Source organism: Homo sapiens, chromosome 4 (genome assembly GCF_000001405.40).
Source record: "Homo sapiens chromosome 4, GRCh38.p14 Primary Assembly".
NCBI classification, from domain to species: domain Eukaryota; kingdom Metazoa; phylum Chordata; class Mammalia; order Primates; family Hominidae; genus Homo; species Homo sapiens.
In genome coordinates this window covers 178,678,495-178,702,535 of record NC_000004.12, presented here as the reverse complement: position 1 = coordinate 178,702,535, position 24,041 = coordinate 178,678,495, and the positions used below count along the sequence as shown (strand labels likewise).

The 24,041-nt window shown below is 34.0% G+C and overlaps 1 non-coding gene across 1 annotated transcript; it reads left to right on the top strand.

The window, feature by feature from the left end:
* Positions 1-16,579: 16,579 nt before the first annotated feature.
* On the top strand, positions 16,580-16,650 carry LOC124900186 (small nucleolar RNA SNORD65). Its single transcript, XR_007058533.1, has one exon. It is a non-coding gene; the product is annotated as a small nucleolar RNA SNORD65 (small nucleolar RNA).
* The last annotated feature ends 7,391 nt before the right edge of the window (positions 16,651-24,041 follow it).

Below are 24,041 nucleotides of genomic sequence, written 5' to 3'. Positions count from 1 at the left end.
TCATGACCCCAATCTAATGCTAGTTCCTTTGAAAAGCAATTTCTAACATGAATAGTCACAGTCTAAATTTCCTTGTATCTGTTTTGCCACAACACTTATTTATTTTTATGTTGCATTGTTTTACATAGACGTCTGAGTTTTAGTTCCTTCCCCTCTAGAAAGTGGGCTTTTGCTATAAAGACACATGCACACGTATGTTTATTGCGGCATTATTCACAATAACAAAGACTTGGAACCAACCCAAATGTCCAACAATGATAGACTGGATTAAGAAAATGTGCACATATACACCATGGAATATTATGCAGCCATAAAAAATGATGAGTTCATGTCCTTTGTAGGGACATGAATGAAATTGGAAATCATCATTCTCAGTAAACTATCGCAAGGACAAAAAACCAAACACCGCATATTCTCACTCATAGGTTGGATTGAACAGTGAGAACACATGGACACAGGAAGGGGAACATCACATTCTGGGGACTGTTTTGGGGTGGGGGGAGGGGGAAGGGATAGCACTGGGAGATATACCTAATGCTAGATGACGAGTTAGTGGGTGCAGCGCACCAGCATGTCACATGTATACATATGTAACTAACCTGCACATTGTGCACATGTACCCTAAAACTTAAAGTATAATAATTAAAAAAAAAAAAAAGAAAGAAAGAAAATTTGGAACCCATGTTCTCTTTATCACCTTCCTGCCCGGTGATACCTTTCATAATGAAAGTGATCAATTATTGTTCAGAGAGATTATGAGAATTGAGGTCCTTGCTTATCTTTTTTTTAAGATAAAATAAAAAATATTTCTTCATTGTTTTCCTTGTGACCCTTTTATTACTTAACAACTTCTGTACACAGAAGAGCAAATTACAATGTAAATCAAATCATCTTCAAATATATAATCCATTGGTTTTACAACTGAAAAGATCTAAAAACCTTGAATAAATTTTCAGAGACACAAACATATTTATATAAATACATACATAGTTAAACCCACATATTTAAAAATATTGCTTTTCTCTAATTTTCTTTAATGAAACATCTTGTCCAAGCTTTTTACATGTACTTTAATATCAGCATCCATTATCATAGTGTCACTTCTTGAGTCATCTAACACCATTTACTGGAGCATTATATTTGTCAGGAGTTCAGCTGAGCAGGAAAGAGCTGAGCTGCCAGGAGTTGGGGTGGTTTATTAAGAAAACACCTACCATGAAAGGGACAGGCCAGGCTTTTGTCACTCACTGTGACAGAGGCCAAGCTGGAGAAAGTGTCAACCCTTGACCCCCACTCCGCTCCATTTTTCCTCAGAGAGCAGTGCCAGTGGAGGGCCAGGTGGGTTCTAAGGACTGAGAGTGAAGAAAAGTGTTTGTTTTTTCAATCAAATAGATCTATCAAAACATGAAACCAGATTCACCTTTTTGACTTTTGGTTTTTGATTTCTGATTGTGAGCCATTATTGCTAATCCAATCGCCATTCACTTACCCTATCTGTAATTTGAATGCTCTATAAATATATTTTACTGAAATAGAACAGTGGTTCCTGAGCTAGTCATAATAATAGGTATTATTCATGAGGTTTTAATATTTATGAGCAGCATGTTTGGCATTTTTACAAACATTGTATTAACTCACCGAACATCATAATAACGACATCAGATAGGTACAATTTTTATGACAGTTTCAGACAAGAAAAAACAAAGAGTTAATAGTTACATGTTTTACAAAGATTATTGACTAATGCTAATTTTAGCAAGTGATCAAAAGCTAATGTTAAGTTGTTTGTGTATTTATCTACTGTGAAATAATAATTTAGAGAAGTGTCTATCTGCAGTGACAGAAACTGTTCAATAATATATAAATTCAAATTTCCCTACAAAACTCTAAAATAAGAAGAAATGCCTAGAACAGGGATTCTTTATCCAAGGTTCTGTTCATAGAAGCAGGGTCCAATTATTTCATGTTTCTCAGTATTCAATGTGAGAATACATACCAATTTTTGTCCCCTTACCCCCATCCCTGTAAATGGAATGAACAAAAATCAGAATTAAATTTTTAAATCTTCCATTTCCTGGAGTATTCAATTCTGTCCACACTCCCCCTGCCACAACAGAAACTTTTTTTTCAAACAGTAAGGATGGCATAAATAACCTAGAGTATTTACTTCAAGTATAGCCAAGCATTCTGTGCTGTAGCTTCTATCTGCACTAGAGTGTTTAAAAAGATTTATAAAGAGTTACATATCTTCTATAAATGTCAAAAGATAATGTCCACTATTGGTTTTCAAAACATTGAGGTTTGTAATATAAAATAATGGTTTCTCTGTAATTTTTGACAAATAGTAACATTTCTTAATCTAGTTGAAGCCCAAATGCTCTGTTTTAGAAGCAATTGATAATCTACATTTTCTTGTCAGACTGAGCACTAGATTGCATACGATTTTCTGGCTACTTAGCTAATGGGAGAATGGAATAAACTATGTAGCAGGTCATTTAACTCCTCTTTCTTGTTGGGAAAAATGATAAATTTTGAGACTTGAATCATTATTTAGTGTTATCTTTCATTATTTTGAAATATACTATTAAGTTACAGTGAGTGTTTTGAAATATTTCCAGGAGACACTTAGTGTTATTACAAACACTACTGATAATAGACCATGATATTCAAAGAAATAGAAGGAAAAAAAAGGTGGTTTAAAGTCATATAACTGTAAATAACATGGTCTTACCAGAAAAGTCATCCATCCATCCACTCACTCATTTGTAAAGTGCCTGATGCCACTATAAAATATTACTATGACAGGATGCCATAACAGAATTCTTAAAGATCCCAGAGTTTTGCAGAGTGGTCTCAGTAATGCAAAGATGCTTTACATTTGAGAGCAGGAATATCAGTGTAGACAACAGGCATATATTGAAAATCAAGTAATTGGCAGACACTATAATCTTTCAGACATAACCCAGTCTTTTAACTCATTGCCTGGTGGCAAACAGATTTAAAAAAATGTCAACAATACTATAAGAGATCAGATAAAGTGTTTTGAGAATTTCAAGGATAAGATATAAAAGAAATGCCTAGAACAGGGATCCTTTATCCAAAGTTCTATTCATAGAAGCAAGGTCCAATTATGTCATGTCTCTCAGTATTCAATGTGAAGATTGATTCGTGAGATGTCAAATAAAGAAAATATGAAATCTAATTATGTTTTTTTCAGATTGTCTACTTATTCCAGAATACATGGATCTCTGTCAAAGAAAACTGAAAAAGAAGAAAAACATTATTCATCAAGGTTGTCTAAGTACTTATTAATAGGCAATATTTATATATGGTATCTGACTACTGATCCTTTCAGTACATTTTGGTTTTTCAATTTCCATTCATATAAACAGACAAAAGGAAGACAATAAATAGAATTAAATGGAGTGGAACTGAATAAGAAATAGATATACAAAAGATGATGATACCTGTATTTATTATGAGAGACTATTAATGGTAGCTTCAATTTTCTAAAAGCCAGTAAAGAAAAACAAAACAAAAGAAAAAACATGCTTTTCATGATCAGCTGGAGGAAAAGATACTCTTCCCTTTTTGTTAAATATATTTTTAATTCATGTATACCATAAACACAGAAAAATTCACAAATGTTGTTTGACTGTTAATCAAATGTACACACATGTGTAACTAGCTCAAATCAAGCCCTCAAGAGTCCCCATCGTGTCCCCTTCCTGTTACATACTCAGAGCAAATGCTCTCGCTTTTATGTCATGTACACCCCGTACCTAGCTCCTTTCATTCAGTATCGTGTTTGTAAGATGAGTCCATGTCCAGGCATGTAGTTCCATTGACTTTGTTTTCATTGCTGTATAGTATTCCACAGAGCATGTGGCTCTTTCTGAAGCACAAACTCATCCCTGTTTTTTCATGGGCAGGAGAGGAAGGCTAGCATAGCTGTGAAGAGCACAGGCTCTGCAGGCTGTGTTTGCTCTGCCCCTTACCGTCTATGTGCTCCTGAGCAACCTAATTTTTTGTTGTTAAAATTTTCTTCTCTGGAATGGGAATAGCAGTGTTACCACATTTTTTCTTAGGGGAACTAATTGACAAAAAAATCAAAATGAAAGCATGTTCCTATTCAGGGCAGTCTGTCAAATATGAGTAGCAGCATTAGGGCAAGGATAAACCCCATCAATAGCTTTATGTAAAACTTAAGTGGTCTATTCCATTAACTGGTACTTCAGCACAAACTTACTTCATAGCTTCATTTTATCTCGCTTTTTATATAGACATAAAAATGAAATGTGTGTTATTAATAACTGAAGTACTTTTCTTCTTTTAAAATTTCATAATGATTTTCCAAAGTAAAACAAACTGAAATACTTTACCCAGTTCTTTAAAATAAACCATCGAGCGGTTGAGATATTTAGAATCATGTCCTTCTTTACCTTGGTTTTTCTTTTTAATTTTAATACACAATTAGTACTGACTACCTTTATCATCACCTTTTTAACATCAAAAAGAATTCAAATACTATTCCTAGTCAGCATGTCCTGTTCCCACTCTGGATCATCCCATTAAACATTTTCTTTTTCTTTTTTTTTTTTTTTTTTTTTTTTGAGATGGAGTCTTGCTCCGTTGTCAGGCTAGAGTGCATTGGCACTATTTCAGCTCACCGCAACCTCTGCCTCCCGGGTTCAAGCTATTCTCCTACCTCAGTCTCCCAAGTAGCTGGGATTACAGGCACCTGCCACCAATTATTTGTATTTGTAAAAATACAAATAATTTTGTATTTTTAGTAGAGACGGGGTTTCTCCGTGTTGGTCAGGCTGGTCTTGAACTCCCGACCTCAGGTAATCTGCCCACCTTGGCCTCCCAAAGTGCTGGGATTACAGCCATGAGCCACCGCCCCTGGCCTAAACCTTTTTGTTTATCCACATAGACCTTCAATGTGTTTATATATGTGCATGCATATATACAAACAATAATTTTAGTAAACAATATTTTTAGTAAATATGACATAGAGAGTCATATTTGCCTGATTTTTAATTGTATCAGTCAAAGAGAGACAGGGAGAGAGAGAAATAAAGAGATCAAAATTTTGTGCTAGGCAAAAATCCAAGGTGGCACCAAGATTCTTGCTGCCTAGTGTATACAGTTCTTCTGTCAAACAGTAATTCGGTTGTTCTATGTTGTGGAAAAGCTGTTAAAGACATAATTAAATCTGTGGTAATTTTTAACGCAGAAATAGAAAAATAATACAAATTATGTCCAGGTGCTCCTTTTCATGTCAAAACTTAGAAAATTTAAAAGGGTATTTACATAAAAAGCTCTTCTCCATCCAGGTCTTTCCTCCACATAATAACTGTTCCCCAGACTATGTCCAGACAAAAACAATGTACACACACTACACATTGTCATTTAAACAATAGATACCTATAGAAAATATTTTACAGCTTTAAAAAATTTTCTTTATACCTTGCCAATAACTGCATAGCAAAATATAATCAATCTCTCTATTGTGGAGACTATATTTGCTTCCAAATGTTTACTGCTGCAACAAGTGTGCAATAATAAGCTCTCTGTTGCTGCAATTTAATTGTGAGATTGTCCTTTTATAGTTATGGGGAATTAGCAATCTTTTGCTCTACAGTTGTTTCTCCTAACCATGATTTCACTTCTTACTGTTTCAGTTGCCTGTGGTTAACTATGGTCTGAAGATATTAAATAAAAAATTCCATAAGTAAAGAATTCATAATTAATAAATTGTGTACCATGCTCGGTAGAGTGATGAAATCGCATGTTGTCCAGCTCTGTCCTGGAAGATGAATCATACCTTCCTCCAGAGGTTCCAGGCTGCAGAAGCTCCTTTCTGATTAGCCACTTAGAAGCCCAAACACAAGAGTAGCGATGCTGGCAAAAAAGATATAACAAAGAGAAGTTATAAAGTGTTTTCCCTAAGTAAAAAGGAGAAAATTGTTTTATTTTTTATTTTTTATTTTTTTGAGACAGGGTCTTTTTTTGCCACCCAGGCTGAAGTGTAGTGGGTCAATCACAGCCCACTGCAGCCTCGATCTCCCAGGCTCAAGCAATCCTCCTGACTCCGCCTCTGGTTATCTGGGACGACAGTAGTGCACCATATGGCCCAGCTAATTTTTTGTAGAGATGGGGTTTTGCCATGTTGCCCAGGCTGGTCTCCAACTCCTGGACTCAAGCAACACACCCACATCAGCCTCCCAAAAGTGCTAGAATTACAAGCATGTGCTGTCGTGTCAAGCTGAAATTTCTTTACTTAACAAGAAAAGAAAAATATTTGTATACTGGGGTTGCTAAAACCTACCTTAAGAACAAATCTATCCATAATGATGTGAAGAAAAAAGAAAAAAATTGGTGCTAGTTCTGCTGTAGCACAACAAACTTCAAAAGTTACAGCCACATGCGTGATAAGTGCTTAGTTAAGATGGAAAAGGCATTAAATTTGTGAGTGGAAGGCATCATGGTTTAATTGAGAGCATTCAGATTCAGTATCTAAACAGACCTAACACAGAAAAAGTACAGTAAAAATACAGCATAAAAGACTAAAATATGGCACACCTATATAGGGTAGCTCCTATTATGGCAAAATAGATGTATATACAGTGCATATTTGACAGAGACACCATTATATGATGCATGTCTGTATTTATAAAAAATCTGAAATGGGCATACTTTATGCCAAATTAATTTGTGTTACATAAATTAGTCTTAAAATATTATCTCTGCTTAAACCCAGGAGTTCGAGTTTAAGGTGAGCTATGATTGCGCCACTGCACTCTAGCCTGGACAATAGGTAGACCTTGTCTCTAATAAGTATATTAAAAATTATCTCATTGATAAAATAAATAAAAATGGTAAAGCATCTGATCGGGAAAATGGGCAACAGAAATAAAAAATGGTAGAATAGTCTGTCTTTCTCTACTTGAAATATGTTCCCAAATCCCTAGTGAGTGACACTACTTGGGATGGTAGAATGAACCTGCCTGCCTTATATCAGAATACATTTCTGTTCATGTCTTTCACCCACAAATTTGAAGTCTTTTTAACTGAGCATGTAACATGCTCTGTGGCCATAACTTTTGCAGTTTGAGGTGCAACAGGAGATCTAGCACAATTTTTTTCTTCTTCACAATTTCATGGATAGATTTGTTCTTAGGGTAAATTTTAGCAAGCTCAGTATACATTTTTCCTTTTTGGCTTATTAAGTTGAGAATTTTTACCTTTTCACTGAAATGAAGCACTTTATAGTTTCTCTTTGTCATATCTCAATTGCCAGTATCACTACTCTTGTGCTTTGGGGACGTTATTTAGTAAAATATGGGTTCCTTTAATACAAGTGTTGTGATTCTGGGACAGTGGATCTGATAACCAAGAGGGCTACTGAGTGGCTACTGAGCAGGTAGAGTGGAGATGCTGGACAAAGGGAGAATTCATGTCTTGAGCGGGACTGAGTGAGATTTCCTCATACTACTCGGAACATGGCTCAATTTAAAGTTTATGAATTGTTTATTTTTGGAACTTTCCATTTAATAGTTTTGAACTGTGGTTGACCTCAGGAAACTGAAAACCCAGAAAGTGAAACTGTGGATTAGAGAGGACTACTGTACACTTTATACAGAGTTTTGTCTCCTTAATTTCTAAAGTTGCTTATAGAGCTAGAAGAGTGACTATATAGTCGTCACGCTATCCTGATAGCTAAATGAGAAAATCCAGGCCAAGATATGTGACCTAGTGATTGTTTTGTAGTTGTGTCCTTGTTTTTAATCTTCCTTACAAAGCTACAGGGCTCTTAGGCATTGTGGTTAGTAGCTTATATTTTTAAATTATTATGTCTGTTATGGTTATGTAGATATTAACATATATAAGTTTAATAAACTAATTTGATTTAGACTTAAAATTATAGTCACATTTTAATAAAGAATAATTTAATCAGTAATAAACTGATCTCTGTTACTTTTTTTAAAAAATATTTTATTTGCAGGTTGTCACTTATTTTCTAATGTTTATATTAAAGCAAGAGAATTTTAAGAGTTGATCTTTTGCTCCATTATTATAAAGTGGGTCAATGAATGATAAGACAGATGATAGAATGAACTTTTTCAGAATTGGGATCAAACTGCATATCCTTATCACCAGGGCTTCACTCTACCATCTTTAAAGAGATGTGATATCAATATATCAATACAGAGATACTACATCAGTATATCAATACAGAAATACTATACCAATATATTGATAATAATCATATCAACACTTTTGTATTTGACCCCACAGAATGTTAAATAAGGTTGACTTGTAGACCACCTTTGCTTTCTGTTGTCACACATTTTGAAGACAGACAAGGATTTAAACAGGTTACCAAGTGAATGTTAAAAAAAAAAAAAAAACTCTTGAGGTTTGAGAAAAGTGGCTTATGAATCAGTAGTTTGCTACTTTCCGTTATTTTCTTACTGCTTTCTGAATCTAATGGCTCCTATGGCAGGAATAGCTGTAAGAAATGATTCAGACCTGCTGAAATGTAGAAGGGTAGAACCACATGTTCTTCATTATTTGTGTGGATATCATATATTTCTTCCTTCTAATGCTTCCTAGTTCCCTTTAAGTTAACATTGCTGCCTCTTGCCTTGAAGAAAAGCATCCATCTCTGTTCTGAGAAAAAGTTGAACATTACTACTGTATTTTTCTCTCCAACTAAATGCTAGGTGAGCATGATTTCTCCTTTACTTATTTCTGAAGCATGAAGGCAAAGGCTCAATATTTTCTTTATCAACTTCCTTAGAGGTTCTGCTTGACAAAGTTGGATGAGGAAGAATTTACCACCTCCCTCAGGCTTACAGGTTGTATAATTCTCAGAGAGTTCCACTGAGTAGCTTTCAACAAATCATTTTAAGGAAAAAAAAAGTTAAAAATAAACAATAAGCCAGGCACTGTGGCTCATTTGTGTCCCAGCACTCTGGGAGGCGGAAGTGAGAGGACTGTTTGAGCCCAAGAGTTTGAGACCAGCCTGTGTAATACAGTGATACCCCATCTTTATTAAAAAATCAAAAAATTAGCCAGATATGGTGGTGCATGCCTGTAGTCCCAGCTACATGGGCTGAGGCAGGAGGATCCTTTGAGCCCAGTAGGTAGAGGCTGCAGTGAGCCATGTTTATACCACTGCACTCCAGCCTGGGTGACAGAGGGAGACACTGTCTAAAAAAAAAACAAAGCAGAAGTAAGCAATGTTAAGTGTTACCAAAAAAAAATGACTCTATCAATGTCATGATCTATTCCAGCAAGTTGCATTCTGTTATGTGCTAACCTTTAATTGATGTGTGTCTCTAAATATGACAATGGCTTGGAAATCCCAACAGTGTTTACATACAAGACTGATTAAACTATAATTTCTTGATCCATCTACATCTAGATCTGACTCACTCATGCCTGTTGGTTATTTAGCATGTTTTTCTTAAATCATGTTTAAATAAATTTGTTAAATTTGGTTGTTAATTTTATAAACATCCTTAGGGATAATCATTATTTTACAAAACATTATTTTTAAACAGTATAAAACATTTTTATTTAAACAACTTCAATTTAACGCTAAAATTATTTAATTATTATTTAACCAATCTATTGAGGATAAACATTTTTCTGATATATAAATTTATATTAATTCAAAATATTTCCAGGATATATGAAAGCTATTCATTAATTTCAATCATCATTACATTTGTTCTTTATTTTCCCTCCTCTTTTTCTATTTTCTCTGGTTTTAATTTAGTATGTTATACTTTTTAATTTTATTTTCTGTCAGCATTTAATTTATACTTAACACAAACATTTTAAATGGTTGCCCTAGGGTTTCCAACATATATGTTTAAATAATCCAAGTACAATGTCAAATAAAAACTTATGAGCCAGGAGAGGTGGCTCACGCCTGTAATCCAAGCACTTTGGGAGGCTGAGGCGGGCAGATCATGAGGTCAGGAGATCAAGACCCTCCTGGCTAACACGGTGAAACCCAGTATCTACTAAAAATACAAAAAAATAGCCGGGCGTGGTGGCACACGCCTGTAGTCCTAGCTACTCAGGAGACTGAGGCAGGAAAATCGCTTGAATCTGGGATGCAGAGGCTGCAGTGAGCCGAGATTGTGCCACTGCACTCCAGCCTGGGCAACAGAGTGAGACTCCGTTTCCAAAAAAAAAAAAAATTACTGTGAGCGTAGTGGGGATACCTCATAACATAGTATTACCAGTACGTCTGTCTTATTTCTTGTGATTTTACTGCCATTTATTTATTTATTTTGAGACAAAGTCTAGTTCTGTCACTCAGGCTGGAGTGCAGTGGCCTGATCTCAGCTCACTGCAACCTCTGCCTCCCAGGTTCAAACATTTCTCCTGCCTCAGCCTCCCGAGTAGCTGGGATTATAGGCGCCCACCACCATGCCTGGCTAATTTTTGCATTTTTAGTAGAGATGGGGTTTTGCCTTGTTGGCCATGCTGGTTGTGAACTCCTGACCTCAGGTGATCCACTCGTCTCGGCCTCCCAAAGTGCTGGGATTATAGGCGTGAGGATTTGACTGCCATTTATCTAACATCCCTGAGCAATGATGAATTAATTATTGTTGCTATTATTGCTGTCCATAATTATCTTGTCGATCTATTAAGATAAGAAAAACTTTTTAAAAATTACACATCAATCCAAGTTTCTCATGTATATTACTTTATTTAACCTAAAGAATTTCTTTTAATATTTTTGCAGTGTAGATCTTCCAGTAATGAATTCCTTCAGTTGTTCTTCTGAAAAAGCCTTTATTTCTTCTTCACTTTTGAAGGATAATTTTGCTACGTATGTTATTCTAAGTTGGCAGGTTTTTTTTCTTTCAACACTTAAAAACGTTACTCCAGGCTATTTGGTTGCATGATTTCTGATGAGAGGTGCATTGTCATTCTTATCTTTGCTTCTCTATAGTTAAGATGTACCCAACTTTCTATAAGATTTTCCCCGTTTTTTTTTTTTTTTTTTTGCAGCTTGATGATGTTATGCTTAGATACATGTATGTGTGTGTGTGTGTGTGTGTGTGTGTGTATGTGTGTATTTCATATTCATCTTGCCTGGCATTCTCTGAGCATCCTGGATGTGTGATTTGATTTATCATATTAATTTTGGAAAGTTCTCAGTCATTACTGTTTCAAATATTTATTTTGCCTTATTCTTAATCTTTTCTTTTCCTGGCATTTGATATGGATATAACTTTTGATATTGTTCCGCAGTTCTTGGATGTCCTGATCTGTGTCTTCGTTCTTTGGTTCCCTTTGAGTTACAGGTTATATTAACCTATCTTCAAGCTCATTAATCCTTCCCTCAGTTTTCTTGAAAGTCTTCATGAGCTTTGTCTTAGTCCTTTGCTGCTGTTATAACAAAATACTTGAGACTGGGTAATGTATGAAGAATAGAAATTTGTTTCTCACACAAATCTGGAGGCTGGAATTTCAAGAGCAAGGCAGTAGCAGGTTCGACGTCTAGTAAGGGCCAAGTCTTCACTTCAAAGATGACACCTTGTTGCTGCATCCTCCAGGGAAGATGAACGCTGTTTCTTCACATGGCCTTAAGGGTGAAAGGGCAGAAAGGACCCAGCAACATCTCTTCAGCCCTTCCTGGTTACTAATCTCATTCATGAGCATGGGGCCCTCATGGAGTCATCACCCACTAATGGCCCACCTCTTAAATACTGTTGCACTGGTACTTAAATTTCAAAGCTGATTTTAAAGGGAGCACATATTCAAACCATAGCAAGCCTATTAAGAGCATTCTTAATTTCCATTTCAGTAGTTTTGATTTCAGGATTTTCTTTTGATTTTTTTTCCTTATAGGTCTTCTCTCTCTGCTGACATTAATGTAAGAAAAATAAATATTCCATTAGATATCTTAATAAGAAAAAACAAGTTTTCCATTAGATCTCTTAATACATTGAGCACAATCATTTTAAATATCTTTTCTGATAAATACAAGATCTGTGTTTTTCTATTCTGATCTTGATGATTGCTTGTCTATTCAGAATGCTTTCCTTTTCTATTTTTTTTTCTGTTTGCCTTTGGTATGCCTTGTAATTTTCTGTTGTCAGCTGGACATGTTGTATCAGGTAATACGAATTGTGGTAAATAGGTCCCTAGTGTAAGGACTGATATGTTAATCTGGCTAAGTGTGGACTGTATTTTATGTTTACTGTAGCTGTAGTTAGGAGAGAACTTAAATTTTGCTAGGGTGCCTGTTTTTCTCTCCAGTCTTGCCTTTGAGGTTTCCTTTTGTACTGCTCCTTAGATGGAGTCTTTGTCTTACAGCTACTTCTTCTGTAATCCAGTGTAATTAAACTGGCTTTTGTTAGAGTGTTGGTGGAGCTTAGAAAGGGACATGTTCTGTAATCCTCTAATTAAATCTCAGTCTCTAACTGGAGCTGTGTTTTGGGAATGTGGCCTTTACAAGTGTTTCTTGTCCTCTGTTTGGGTATAGTTTTTTTTTTTTTTTTTTAATGTTAATTCATTAACTATTGTTGCTATCTCTACTCCATTCTCTGGCCAAATATTCCCTGTCAGTTTCTTTAGCTCTCTCTCCCCTGTTGACTATGTTTTGTTCTTTTGTTTTGACTTTTTTTTCTTCCTTAGGTGAGGCAGAAAGGCTGAAGGTGTTGAAGTGAGAAGCATATGTCTTCCCACCGGGGATAAATTTTTAGTGTTGTTCTTTGGTGATGTCTTGCCTCCTGGACAGTAGGCATGTGTTAAAGAAATATCTTAGGGGCTTCATAATGACTATTTTTCCCCATTCCTTGTCAGCACTACTAGGAGATCTTTCTCAGATCCTTACCAAGAGAACCTGGTGAGGTTTCTGGAGGGAAACCACATGAAGTGTAGTCTCCACTGCTACCATTGCAACTAATTATGAAGTGATTCCTTTTTGTATTTCTATATTCACTTATTTTGGCTCACAATTAATTATATACTCAATTTTAACAAAATAGATGTATTTCTTGTAATGACTAATTTTCTAAGTAGTTAATTAGAATGCAACCCCATGTATAGTTTGTCCTAAGCCTATTTCTGCTTATTGTATAACTTTGGTGTTTCAGAAAAAGACAAATTGAATCAAAAGTTTTTATTATAAATTCATGGAGTTTCAGATTCTGGCAATACTTCTTTGAGCTCACACCTTAAAGTTTGTAATTTTCTTTTCTTATTGGTATTACTGAGCTGTTGGTGTTTCATTGTGTAAATAACTATAAAGCACTTTGCAGAAAATGAAAACATACACTCAGAAAGCATTTTAAAAGCTACTCAAAAAAGCTACACAACTTTTGCTATATTATCATTTATTATTGTACATTACATAATTATATATTTCTGAAAGTTTTTCCCAGATCATTCTTCTGGGGAGCTTTTAAAAAAATGAAACATAAAATATACACTCAAGTAATACAGAACCACTTTTTTGTTTGCTTTTTAGATTAAAAAGACAATAAAGAAAAGATCTAGAAACCAGAATAAAGACAGAGAGAAATGACCAATATCAGAAATTAAACAAGGAATATTACTACTGATTTCAAAATCATTAAAAGAGTAAAAGTGGGATGCCATAAACAACCCTATGCCACATTTGAAAACTTAGATGAAATGTAACCATTCTTAGAAGAAAAGAGACTGCTGAAACTCACATAAGATCTAGATAACATAAATAGTCTTGAATTTAAAGTTAAAAGCATTACCAAAGTAGAAATTTACCAAATATAAAATTTACAAAATATAGAGTTTCAGGCCCAGATAATTTTATAGGAAAGTACTTAAGATAAATTTGAGGAAGAAAAAATAACCATTACATATAATCTCTTCCATAAATGGGAGAGGACTTTGCAAGTCTTGTATGAAGTCAACATTACATTGATAGAAATACCAGACAAATAAATGATAAGTAAAATGCATGTCAGCATACTTTATAAAATTGAACACAAAATTCCTAATATTATATAAGCAAGCTGATTACAAAAAAAATAAAGATAAAATGAGTTTTTATTACTCTCTCCTCTACAATTTTTCGGAAGACTTTGAGAAGGAATAGTATTAGTTCTTATCTAAATGTTTGGTAGAATTCAGTATGAAGATTTTGGGCTTTTGTTTTATGAGAGGCTTTTTATTACTGATTCTATTTCCTTACTCATTACTGATCTCTTCAGATCTTCTATGTCTTCATGATTCAGTCTTGGTAGTTTGTATGTTCCCAGGAATTTATCTTTTTCTTCCAAGTTATCCAAACTTTAGTGTATAATTGTTCATATTAGACTCTTGTAATCTTTTGTACTTCTGTAATTTCAGTTGTAATATCTTTGCTTTCATTTGTAATTTTATTTGTTTGTGCCTTCTCTCTTTTATTCTTAGTCTATCATTATCCTAATATCAAAACTAGACAAAGATACTAGAAAAAAGGAAATTACAGGCCAATATCTCTAATAAAAATAGATGCAACAATTCTCAACAAAATACTACTAAATCAAATTAAGCAGCACATTAAAAGGATCACTCACCATGATTAAGTGGCATTTATTCTTGGGATGCGAGAATAATTCAACAGATGCAAATTAACAAAAGTGATAAACCACAGCAGATTGAAAGATAAAAATTATATCCATCATCTCAATAGATATGGAAAAAACATTTGACACAATTCAACATTCTTTCATGGTAAGAACTCTCAATAACTTAGGTATAGAAGGAGTGTATCTTATCACAAAAACAACCATATATGAGAAGCCCACAGATAACATCACACTTAATGGTGAAAAGTCAAAAACCTTTTCTCTAAGATTGTGAATAAGAACAGGATGTCTGCTCTCACCACTGCTATTTAACATAGTGCTGGAGTCCTAGACAAAGTAATTAGGCCAGAGAAAGATATAAAAGGCATCCAAATAGGAAAGGAAAAGGCTAAATTGACCTTGTTTGCAGGTGACATGATCTTATAAATAGTCAACTCTAAAGATTTCAACAGAAAACTGTTTTATTAAAGTTGCAGAATAAAAAGTCAACATACAAACATCAGTAGCATTTCTATACACTAACAGTGAACTATCTTAAAAAAAATTAAAAAAATCCATTTACAATAGTTATAAGAAGAAAGACCACAGAGAAATAAATTTAACCAAGGTGGTGAAAGACATGTACACTGAATATTATGAAATACTGACACAAGAAATTGAAGAAGACACAAGTGAATAGAAAAGTGGCCCCTATTCATGCATTGGAAGAGTTAATATTGTTAAAGTGTCCATACTATCAAAGGAATCAACATATCAAGTGTAATTACTCTTAAAGCTACAATGACATATTTTCATAGAAATGAAAAATTTTTTATTGAACTAAAAAGGACCTCAAATAGCCAAAGCAATCTTGAGCAAAAAGAACAAAGCTGGAAACATCGCAATACCTGACTTCAAAAGGTACCATAAATCTATGATAAGCAAGACAGCCTGGTACTAGCATAAAAAGAGACACACAGACCAGTGGAACAGAATAGAGGTCCCAGAAGTAAGTTTATGCATTTACTGTCCATTTATTTTTTTTGACAAAGATGCCAAGAATATACAAGTGGGAAAGAACAATCTCTTGCACAAACGGTGTTGGGAAAACTGCATGTCTACATACAGAAGAATAGAAATATACCCCATCTCACATCATATATAAAATTTAACTCAACATTGATTAAATACTACAAATATAACCTACACTGTAAAGCTCCTAGGAGAAAATAAAAAGGAAAAATTTTATAAAACTGGTTTGGGCAATAAATTTTTGGACATTACTGCAAAAGCACAAGCAACAAAAACAAAATACACAAATGAGATGATAGCAAAATAGAAGTCTCCCGCACAGCATAAAAAACAACCAATGTAATTAATAAACAACCTATAGGATAAGGGAAAATATTGGCAAACCATTCATCTGATAAGGGGTTAATATTCAAAATATGTAAGGAACTCAAACAACTCAATAGCGAGAAAAAAAATAACCTGATTAAAAATGGGCAAAGGATCAGAATAGGCACAACTATCAAAAGAAGACACGTAAATGGCCAAGAGATATTGGAAAAAATGCTCAACATCACTGATCACTGGGGAAATGCAAATTATAGCCACAATAAATTATGATCTCACACCTGTTAATATAGCTATTATAAAAAAGACTGGGCCAGGCGCGGTGGCTCACGCCTGTAATCCCAGCACTTTGGGAAGCTGAGGCGGGCGGATCACAAGGTCAGGAGATCGAGACCTTCTTGGCCAACATGGTGAAACCCTCTCTCTACTAAAATACAAAAAAAATTAGCTGGGCGTGGTGGCACGTGCCTGTAATCTCAGCTACTTGGGAGGCTGAGGCAGGGGAAATTGCTTGAACCAGGGAGGCAGAGGTTGCAGTGAGCTGAGATCGCCCCACTGCACTTCAGCCTGGCGACAGAGCAAGACTCCGTCTCAAAACAAAACAAAACAAAACAAAACAAAACAAAATAACAAAAAGAAGACTGAAAGTCAAATAATTAAATTTCTCCAAATAGCTGGAGTTACTGGCAAATTGTTTAGTGGCAAACATGGTTTTCTGAATAAAATAAAAGGACTAAAGATATTAAGTGTTGGCAATTACCTGGAGAAAAGGAAACCCTTGCAAGTTGTTGGTGAAAATGTAAATTAGTACAGCTATTTCATAAAACAGCATGGAGGACTGTTGAAAAATAAAATAAAAATAAAAATAGAACTACCATTATGAATCAGCAATTCTACATCTGCAAATATAGTCAAAGGAAATGAAATCAGTATGTCAAAGAAATACCTGCACTCCTTTGTTCATTGCAGCATTATTTAAAATGGCCAAGATATGGAATTAACCTAAGTGTCTATTAATGGAGGATTGAATCTAAGAATCTAATTATGGATAAATACAATGTGGTATATAAACACATGGAATATTATTTAACTTCATAAAGAGGGAAATTTTGTCATTGCTGGCATAATAGATGAACACAGATGACATTATGTTAAGTGAAATAAGCCAGGAACCGAAAGACAAATATAGCATGATTTTACTTATGTACTTATGTACAGAATTTAAAGAGTGGAACTCAGAAGCAAAAAATAGAATGGTGGTTACCAGGGTCTGGGGTCAGGGGAGTTTGGGCAGATTTTGGTAGGAGGATACAAAATTTCAGTTAGATAGGAGCAACAATTTTAAGAGATCTATTGTAGAACATGGTGTTATTAACATAATTAATAACAATATGTTGTATACTTGGAAATTGCTAAAAGAGTAGATTTGAAGTGTTATAAAGAAGTATGTGAGATAACATATGTTAATTATGTTAACAATTTATTAATTTCACATCCTATACATATTTTAAAACATCTTGTTGTACATCATAACTATAAAAACAATTTTATGTTGTCAATTAAAAACATATTTAAAAATATTATAAAGACAGTACATATTGAACGATTGGGTTTCATCCTGGATATTCAACGATGGTTCAATATTTGAAAATTAAATCAGTGTTGTTTACTATAGTAATAAACTACGTAAGAAAAACCACAATCACTTTAACAAGTTCAACAAAAACATCCATTTGTAGCACTTGGAATCAAGTGTATTTACTATAGAAGGAGGGGAAAATACACAGCTATCACTTGTCATTCTGATAACTTATGAGCCATCAATTTGATTCCACTATAGTCCTGCAGGCACATAGTTTTGTCAACATCATAGTATAACTTTCTGTACCTGATTGTAATTTATGTCTCACATAGCCCAAAAATCACTTATAATTTACAATCAGTAGTCCACTGAAGAGCCTAGAATCACTATTTTACCCTCTCAAACACCAAATTCTTTATGTATTCATATCCTAATAACATTTTAGGTAGCAAAAACTGTGTTCTTTCATTCATTGAACTTATACGAGGATTCAACGTATTTCTGACAGTGCTAGGTGCTGCTATAACATTTTTTGAAAGGCAAAACAAAACAAAATCTATACAAAGTCAGTGACTATGTCCTTATGAATATTCCAAACTGAGGCACAGGTGACAAACTGGAGTCCTAGGATATATCCAATTTAATTTTCAACATGTCTGTATTCCACTAAGGGGAAGGATTTGCATGTTTTTTGAAAGAGCATCATGCACCCCTCCCTTAGATATTTTGTGTCTGCTTACTTTTATTCCACAAACTGTCCAATTCCATGATTTTATGCATGAACTTCCTGGGGCTGTAATTATTTGATTTTATGATCTGTTGTCTCTTAGAAGATGAGAAATTCAAACAAATAATAAATTAATGGGAAATTCCAACCATTATGAGCATCTCAAAGGAAAAGCCATTGGTGCTATGAAGATGAGACCAGATGTGTCAGAGAAGATTTCTATTAGCATGAATATAAGTTTATATCTGAAAATGTGTTTGAGATTTCTTGGACAGGCTGGGAGATTGTAGTGCAATAGAAACAGTAAACATGTAAAAATTATTCTTAGGCAGAGATTCTGAGACAGTGATCTGTGGACCTGTTAAAGGTCTCTGAGATTTTGTTCACGGTATTTGAGAGGTCAAAATTATGGCATTTCACTGTCTTGAGATTTGAAATGATAATACGAAGGCAATGGTGAGAAACACTGCTGGAACCCTAGAACATGTTAAAACAGGGCATCTGGCCGGGCGCGGTGGCTCACCCCTGTAATCCCAGCATTTTGGGAGGCCGAGGCGGGTGGATCACGGGGTCAGGTGATCGAGACCATCCTGGCCAACATGGTGAAATCTCGTCTCTATTAAAAATGTAAAAATTAGTCAGGCGTGGTGGCGGGCGCCTGTAGTCCCAGCTACTTGGGAGGCTGAGGCAGGAGAATCGCTTGAACCGGGGAAGCGGAGGTTACAGTGAGCCGAGATTATGCCACTGCACTCCAGCCTGGCAACAGAACAAGACTCCATCTCTAAATTAATTAATTAATTAAAAATAAAGTCCTTAGTAAAAAAGTAAAATTTAAAAATTTTGTTGCGTAACGATGCTTCAGTGTCATCTTTTGTTATTCTGTGCGACAAACTGGAACTACTCGTAAAGTGACTCTATTGAAAGTACAATGCTTTTGTTGAAGAACATGTGCAAGATTATTTGTGTTGTGAGTGGAGTGAGCTATTTCTACTTACAAGCATCAGTATGGTTAAACTAATATAGAAGTAGTTGGTGAGAGACAGGCCATAAAGGACCTCTGGGGCTGCATTAAAAACTGTGCTCTTATTTTAGGAAAAAACAGAAGCCATTTAAGGAACTCGAGCATATTGGGAGAAAACTTCAATATTTAGTTTACCAATTTTACTGAATTGTTTCAAGATTATAACTGTACCTCAGTAATGCCCCAAATCCAACAATGTTTTACTATTAAGTTTACTTCCCCACTCTATCAGCTAAAATTTGCTGTATCATTTGATGTCTTCATTTTTCCCATTCACTTTCCTCTATTCAAATCCTAAACTAATAACCTCACTTGTACCTCATGCGGTAAAAAAGAACACATCAGATGTATGATGGCAACTTCTTCATCATACTGAGAATATAATGCTGGGTCCTAAGAGACTATCTTTATAATCCTTTATAGTGAGGAAACTACAGGACCGAATTTTTTAGTTATAGTTTTAAAAGATATATCTACTGTCTGCTAGCCTTAGCAGTATCTATGTCTAAGATATTTATGAAAATATATTTTTTTCAATCCAGTGATTTTTAATCCATAATTAACAACAATGTTTACGGCTAAACATTGCAACCTAGGCAGAAATACATAACTACTGTAGTTTCAAAATTCTGAAGCTAAAATGTCTTTTTCTTCTTTGGAGCAATTTTACCTTAGATGCCATTCCTAGCCTGGAGCTCTGTGAAAACTTGGAGATAGATGATGCCTGAACAGGTCACTTAGAAAACAGACCCCCTAACAAAAACATTTCCTCACTTCAAAATTTTAGAGGGCCAGTTTATTTATTTATTTATTTATTTTAGGCACTTTCAGTCAACAACTAGAGGAAATGATCTTCAGTTCCCCAGGCAAGTCAAGATAGAATTATTCTTCCTTGCCATCAATTATTATTATTGACTGCTATTCTTAACTTCCTGTTGAAATTTCTTGAAGGTTTGATTTTGCTCGTCTAATGACTTCCCTTACTAAAATGGGTTGGATGGCCCTGAAAACATCCCTCTAACATTGTGCTTGAAGAAACCATGCAAAGTCATCCAATAAATGCCCGTTTCATGTCTAGATAGAAGATAAAAAACACAAACGGATAGAATCAGTGTCCATCACAGAGAAGCAAAAAGAAACATTTATAAGGGACTTAGAGTTCAGACTTGTGATCAAGCCCCTCCCATATGCTGTATATCCACTCACAGACGTAAACAGAATTGAAAGAAGCCTTTCATCATGCGACTGCACACTGGAATCCTAAATGATTACTCTGCCTCTGTGCTCCACAAATTCATAATTTTATACATTCTAAAATCATAGCTAGATTAACTATGTATGCTGTAGTGTATTTTTGTGTTAAAAATGTTTATTTGCTATACAAAGAGACATCTACAATAACCTAACTTTGGTGTTGTCTGTTTTTTTAAATTCTTCATTTTCTAATACACTCAAAGCCTTTATAAACAGAAGTTGCTCAGAGTTTTTCAATCCCTGAGAATCCAGGTTTATGGAAACACAAGAAAAATAAAATGCCAGTCCCATTTATTCTGCTAACAATCTATTACAGCAATTAGAAATAAGCGTATTTAGGGAGTTTATAGCAGCATAAAATCAGGAAGCCTATTTTGGGGGGCTTAGAAATGCAGTTTTAATGTCCTATTGCTATGTTTATTTTTCCTAATTTGATGTTATTTATTCATGAGTAATTGACATGTAAAAGTTAGCTAGCTATTCTTGTTGTTTTAGTGTTTTTATTTTTATAAGATGCTTATAATTACAGAAAAAATATTCACATAGCTAAGCATAAAATTATTCCATTATCTTAGAAATAAAAGATTATTTATTTTATACATATTATTAGGGTAACAAAATATTTTATATGAATATTGAACAGCTTGTAACTATTTTGCATATTCGTCAGAAACCATTTTATCAGTTATACAATTTATCTTTGCCTACTTGTAAATAGAAAATACAAATAAATGGTACAAACTTAATAAAACTTCATTGAAAACTCGATGTTGCCAATTAAAGTACACATTGTATAATTACTAAATAATTAATTTCTAGAAAGCTGTATTGTCTGCTCTAAGGATAAAATATACTGAAATATGGTTAAAAATATAAAAATATAACTCTGAGTGTTACCTATTACTTCATTAATTCGTAGAACTTTGGAAAAACTAATCTTCCACAACTGAATAAAGTGGTTCTTATTTTGAAAACGTGGATTTTCCTTTAGAACAGTTTCGGTGACATGTATCTTATGTAGCAGTCATGCTATTTAAGTTTCCTGTGTCATATACAAATATGATACTTTTCATTTTTACTGTGAAATGCTTCATATTGTAGCATTTAGATAATTAAGTGTTGAATTGTATGCATGCTTCTGTATGTGTACACAGAGTTTGTGCAATTTCTAAAAAGTGTATGATATATGGTACTAATGAATTCTCTTTAAAATTGCATAGAAATATTGAATTCATATAGTTTTTATAAAAGTAATTTTATTTGGCATTATGTTTATAAGTCATCTCTAGTATAAAGTGTATAGAATATAATGAGTTCAAATAATATGGAGAGATGTTTACTTGTTCTTCAGGTTATCATAAAATTTCTGTTGTAGATTCCTTTGAGTAGAGAGATTTCATGATATATGCTATTTGTATTCTCCTTTTCAATAACTTTCCAGATTTGTAATGTGCATTTCAGTTTGTGAAATATTAAATATCACAATATGATGCCTGATTTAGCATGAAGTGGGAAATTATAGCACATAATTGAAACCCATGGGTTCGTGAACTTCAGCCCATACTTTAAAAAGTTGTGTCAGTTTTAAAATTAAATATTAATTCACTTTGTTTTAAAACGTACAATTTATACACTTATCTTGTTTTATGAACAACTTAAAAGCTTTTTTTAAAGCTCTTAGAATTTTGTTACATTTTACTGTTTTATACAAGCAATCCAAGATGTGGGATTATTAGGGTGGTAGAGAGATACTAAGATACTAATAGAGAAATAGCATAACTCTTTTTTTTTTTTCCAAGATGGAGTCTCACTTGGTCATCCAGGCTGGAGTGCAGTAGTGTGGTCTCAGCTCACTGCAACTTCTGCCTCCCGGGTTCAAGCGATACTCCTGCTTCAGCCTCCCAAGTAGCTGGGATTACAGGCATGCACCCCCATGCCTGGCTAATTTTTGTATTTTTGGTAGAAACAGGGTTCCACCATGTTGCCCAGGCTGGTCTGGAACCCCTGACCTCAGGTGATCCACCCACTTTGGCCTCCCAAAGTGCTGGGATTACAGGCTTGATCTCTGTAACGCCTGGCCTCATTTTCATTTGAATAAATCTAGAAATTTTATGTCAGAAACACCATTGATAAAGAGTTTGCAATTTATTATCCAGAACATTGACTACTTATTTCCCATTTTTATTACATAGTATATATTTGTGGATTATGTGGCTATAATATGGGAAGTTATATTTAAAATGTTTATGACCAATAGTACTTTCCCCAAAATGTGCTAAGTAAGCTACTGAGAGTCTTGATGATTGTAATAATTAAATACAGTTAATTAATTAGGAATAATTAAATACAAAAAAACTATAAGTTGCAATTGGAAAGAACATTTTATGGTGAATAAAAAACATTTTGCTAGTCCTGGAACTTATTATTACTAATTATCTTTTAATGTCAACTATAATTCAGGTGCATGTTAGAAAAAAATATGTATCTATATAGAGATATGTAGACGTATAAATGTATATTAGATGTCAATCTATATGCAATTTAAATTATAAAACAGTAACAATAAAATATTAGAATTACATAGTTATATATTATTTTTTAGAAAAATTTCTAACCAAGGATATGTTTTAAAATGACAGCTGAATCATACCATAGTGATCACCTTGTTAAACCTATCATTTTTCAGGATAAGGTAAGGTAATTTATTGGAATGACAGAATCATTATCTAAAGTTCTGTGTTGAGATCAGAATATAGATACAAGCATTATTTTAGGAAAAAAATCTGTTGATGGCTTGCTTTATTTTAAGTAAATTTAAAACAAAATCTTAATTAACTGCATGAACATTTGGACATTTAAGTATTAATGTTATCTTTGTGCACATGATTTGCTAAATTTCAATGTTTAGAAACAAACATAATTAATGTATACACAACCTAATGATTAAAACGTTGAATATGAAATGAAACATGTGTTCAGTAAAACCCAACATCACTCATCTATATCTGTCAACTACAAAAGCAACGTGAAAAGTTAAGAAATTCAAAGGGTTGCTGCAAGTAGGGAAACAATGTTAGTAACAATGGAGATGCAAAGCCAATGAATATCATGTACGTATGCTGCTAACACTATGTGAAAATACATAAGGCACTAATACATAAACGGTTTCTTGTTGTGATAGTCAAACATTCAATTTGGTTAAGCCACATTATACGTCATTGTTGCCATTTCTTTTCTGCCAGAATTGATCAAATTTCTGGTACTACTTAATATTTTAACAGCGTAGAAGAATTAATCTGAATGATGTAGGAGCCTCAGTGTTTTGCAGTTTACAGTTAACATTTGAGAAGCATATAGATGAGCTGACTCTAAAGTCTAGATTTGTAATTCTCAGCTTTTTGAGATTGCCAGTGCGAACGCTGTATATATTGACTGATTCATTTAGTAAAGCAACTGATTCCTATCAATCACCAAATATATTAAAGAGCAGTAGATAAATAAAAGAGGACCAAGTTGGTGCTCTTAAGA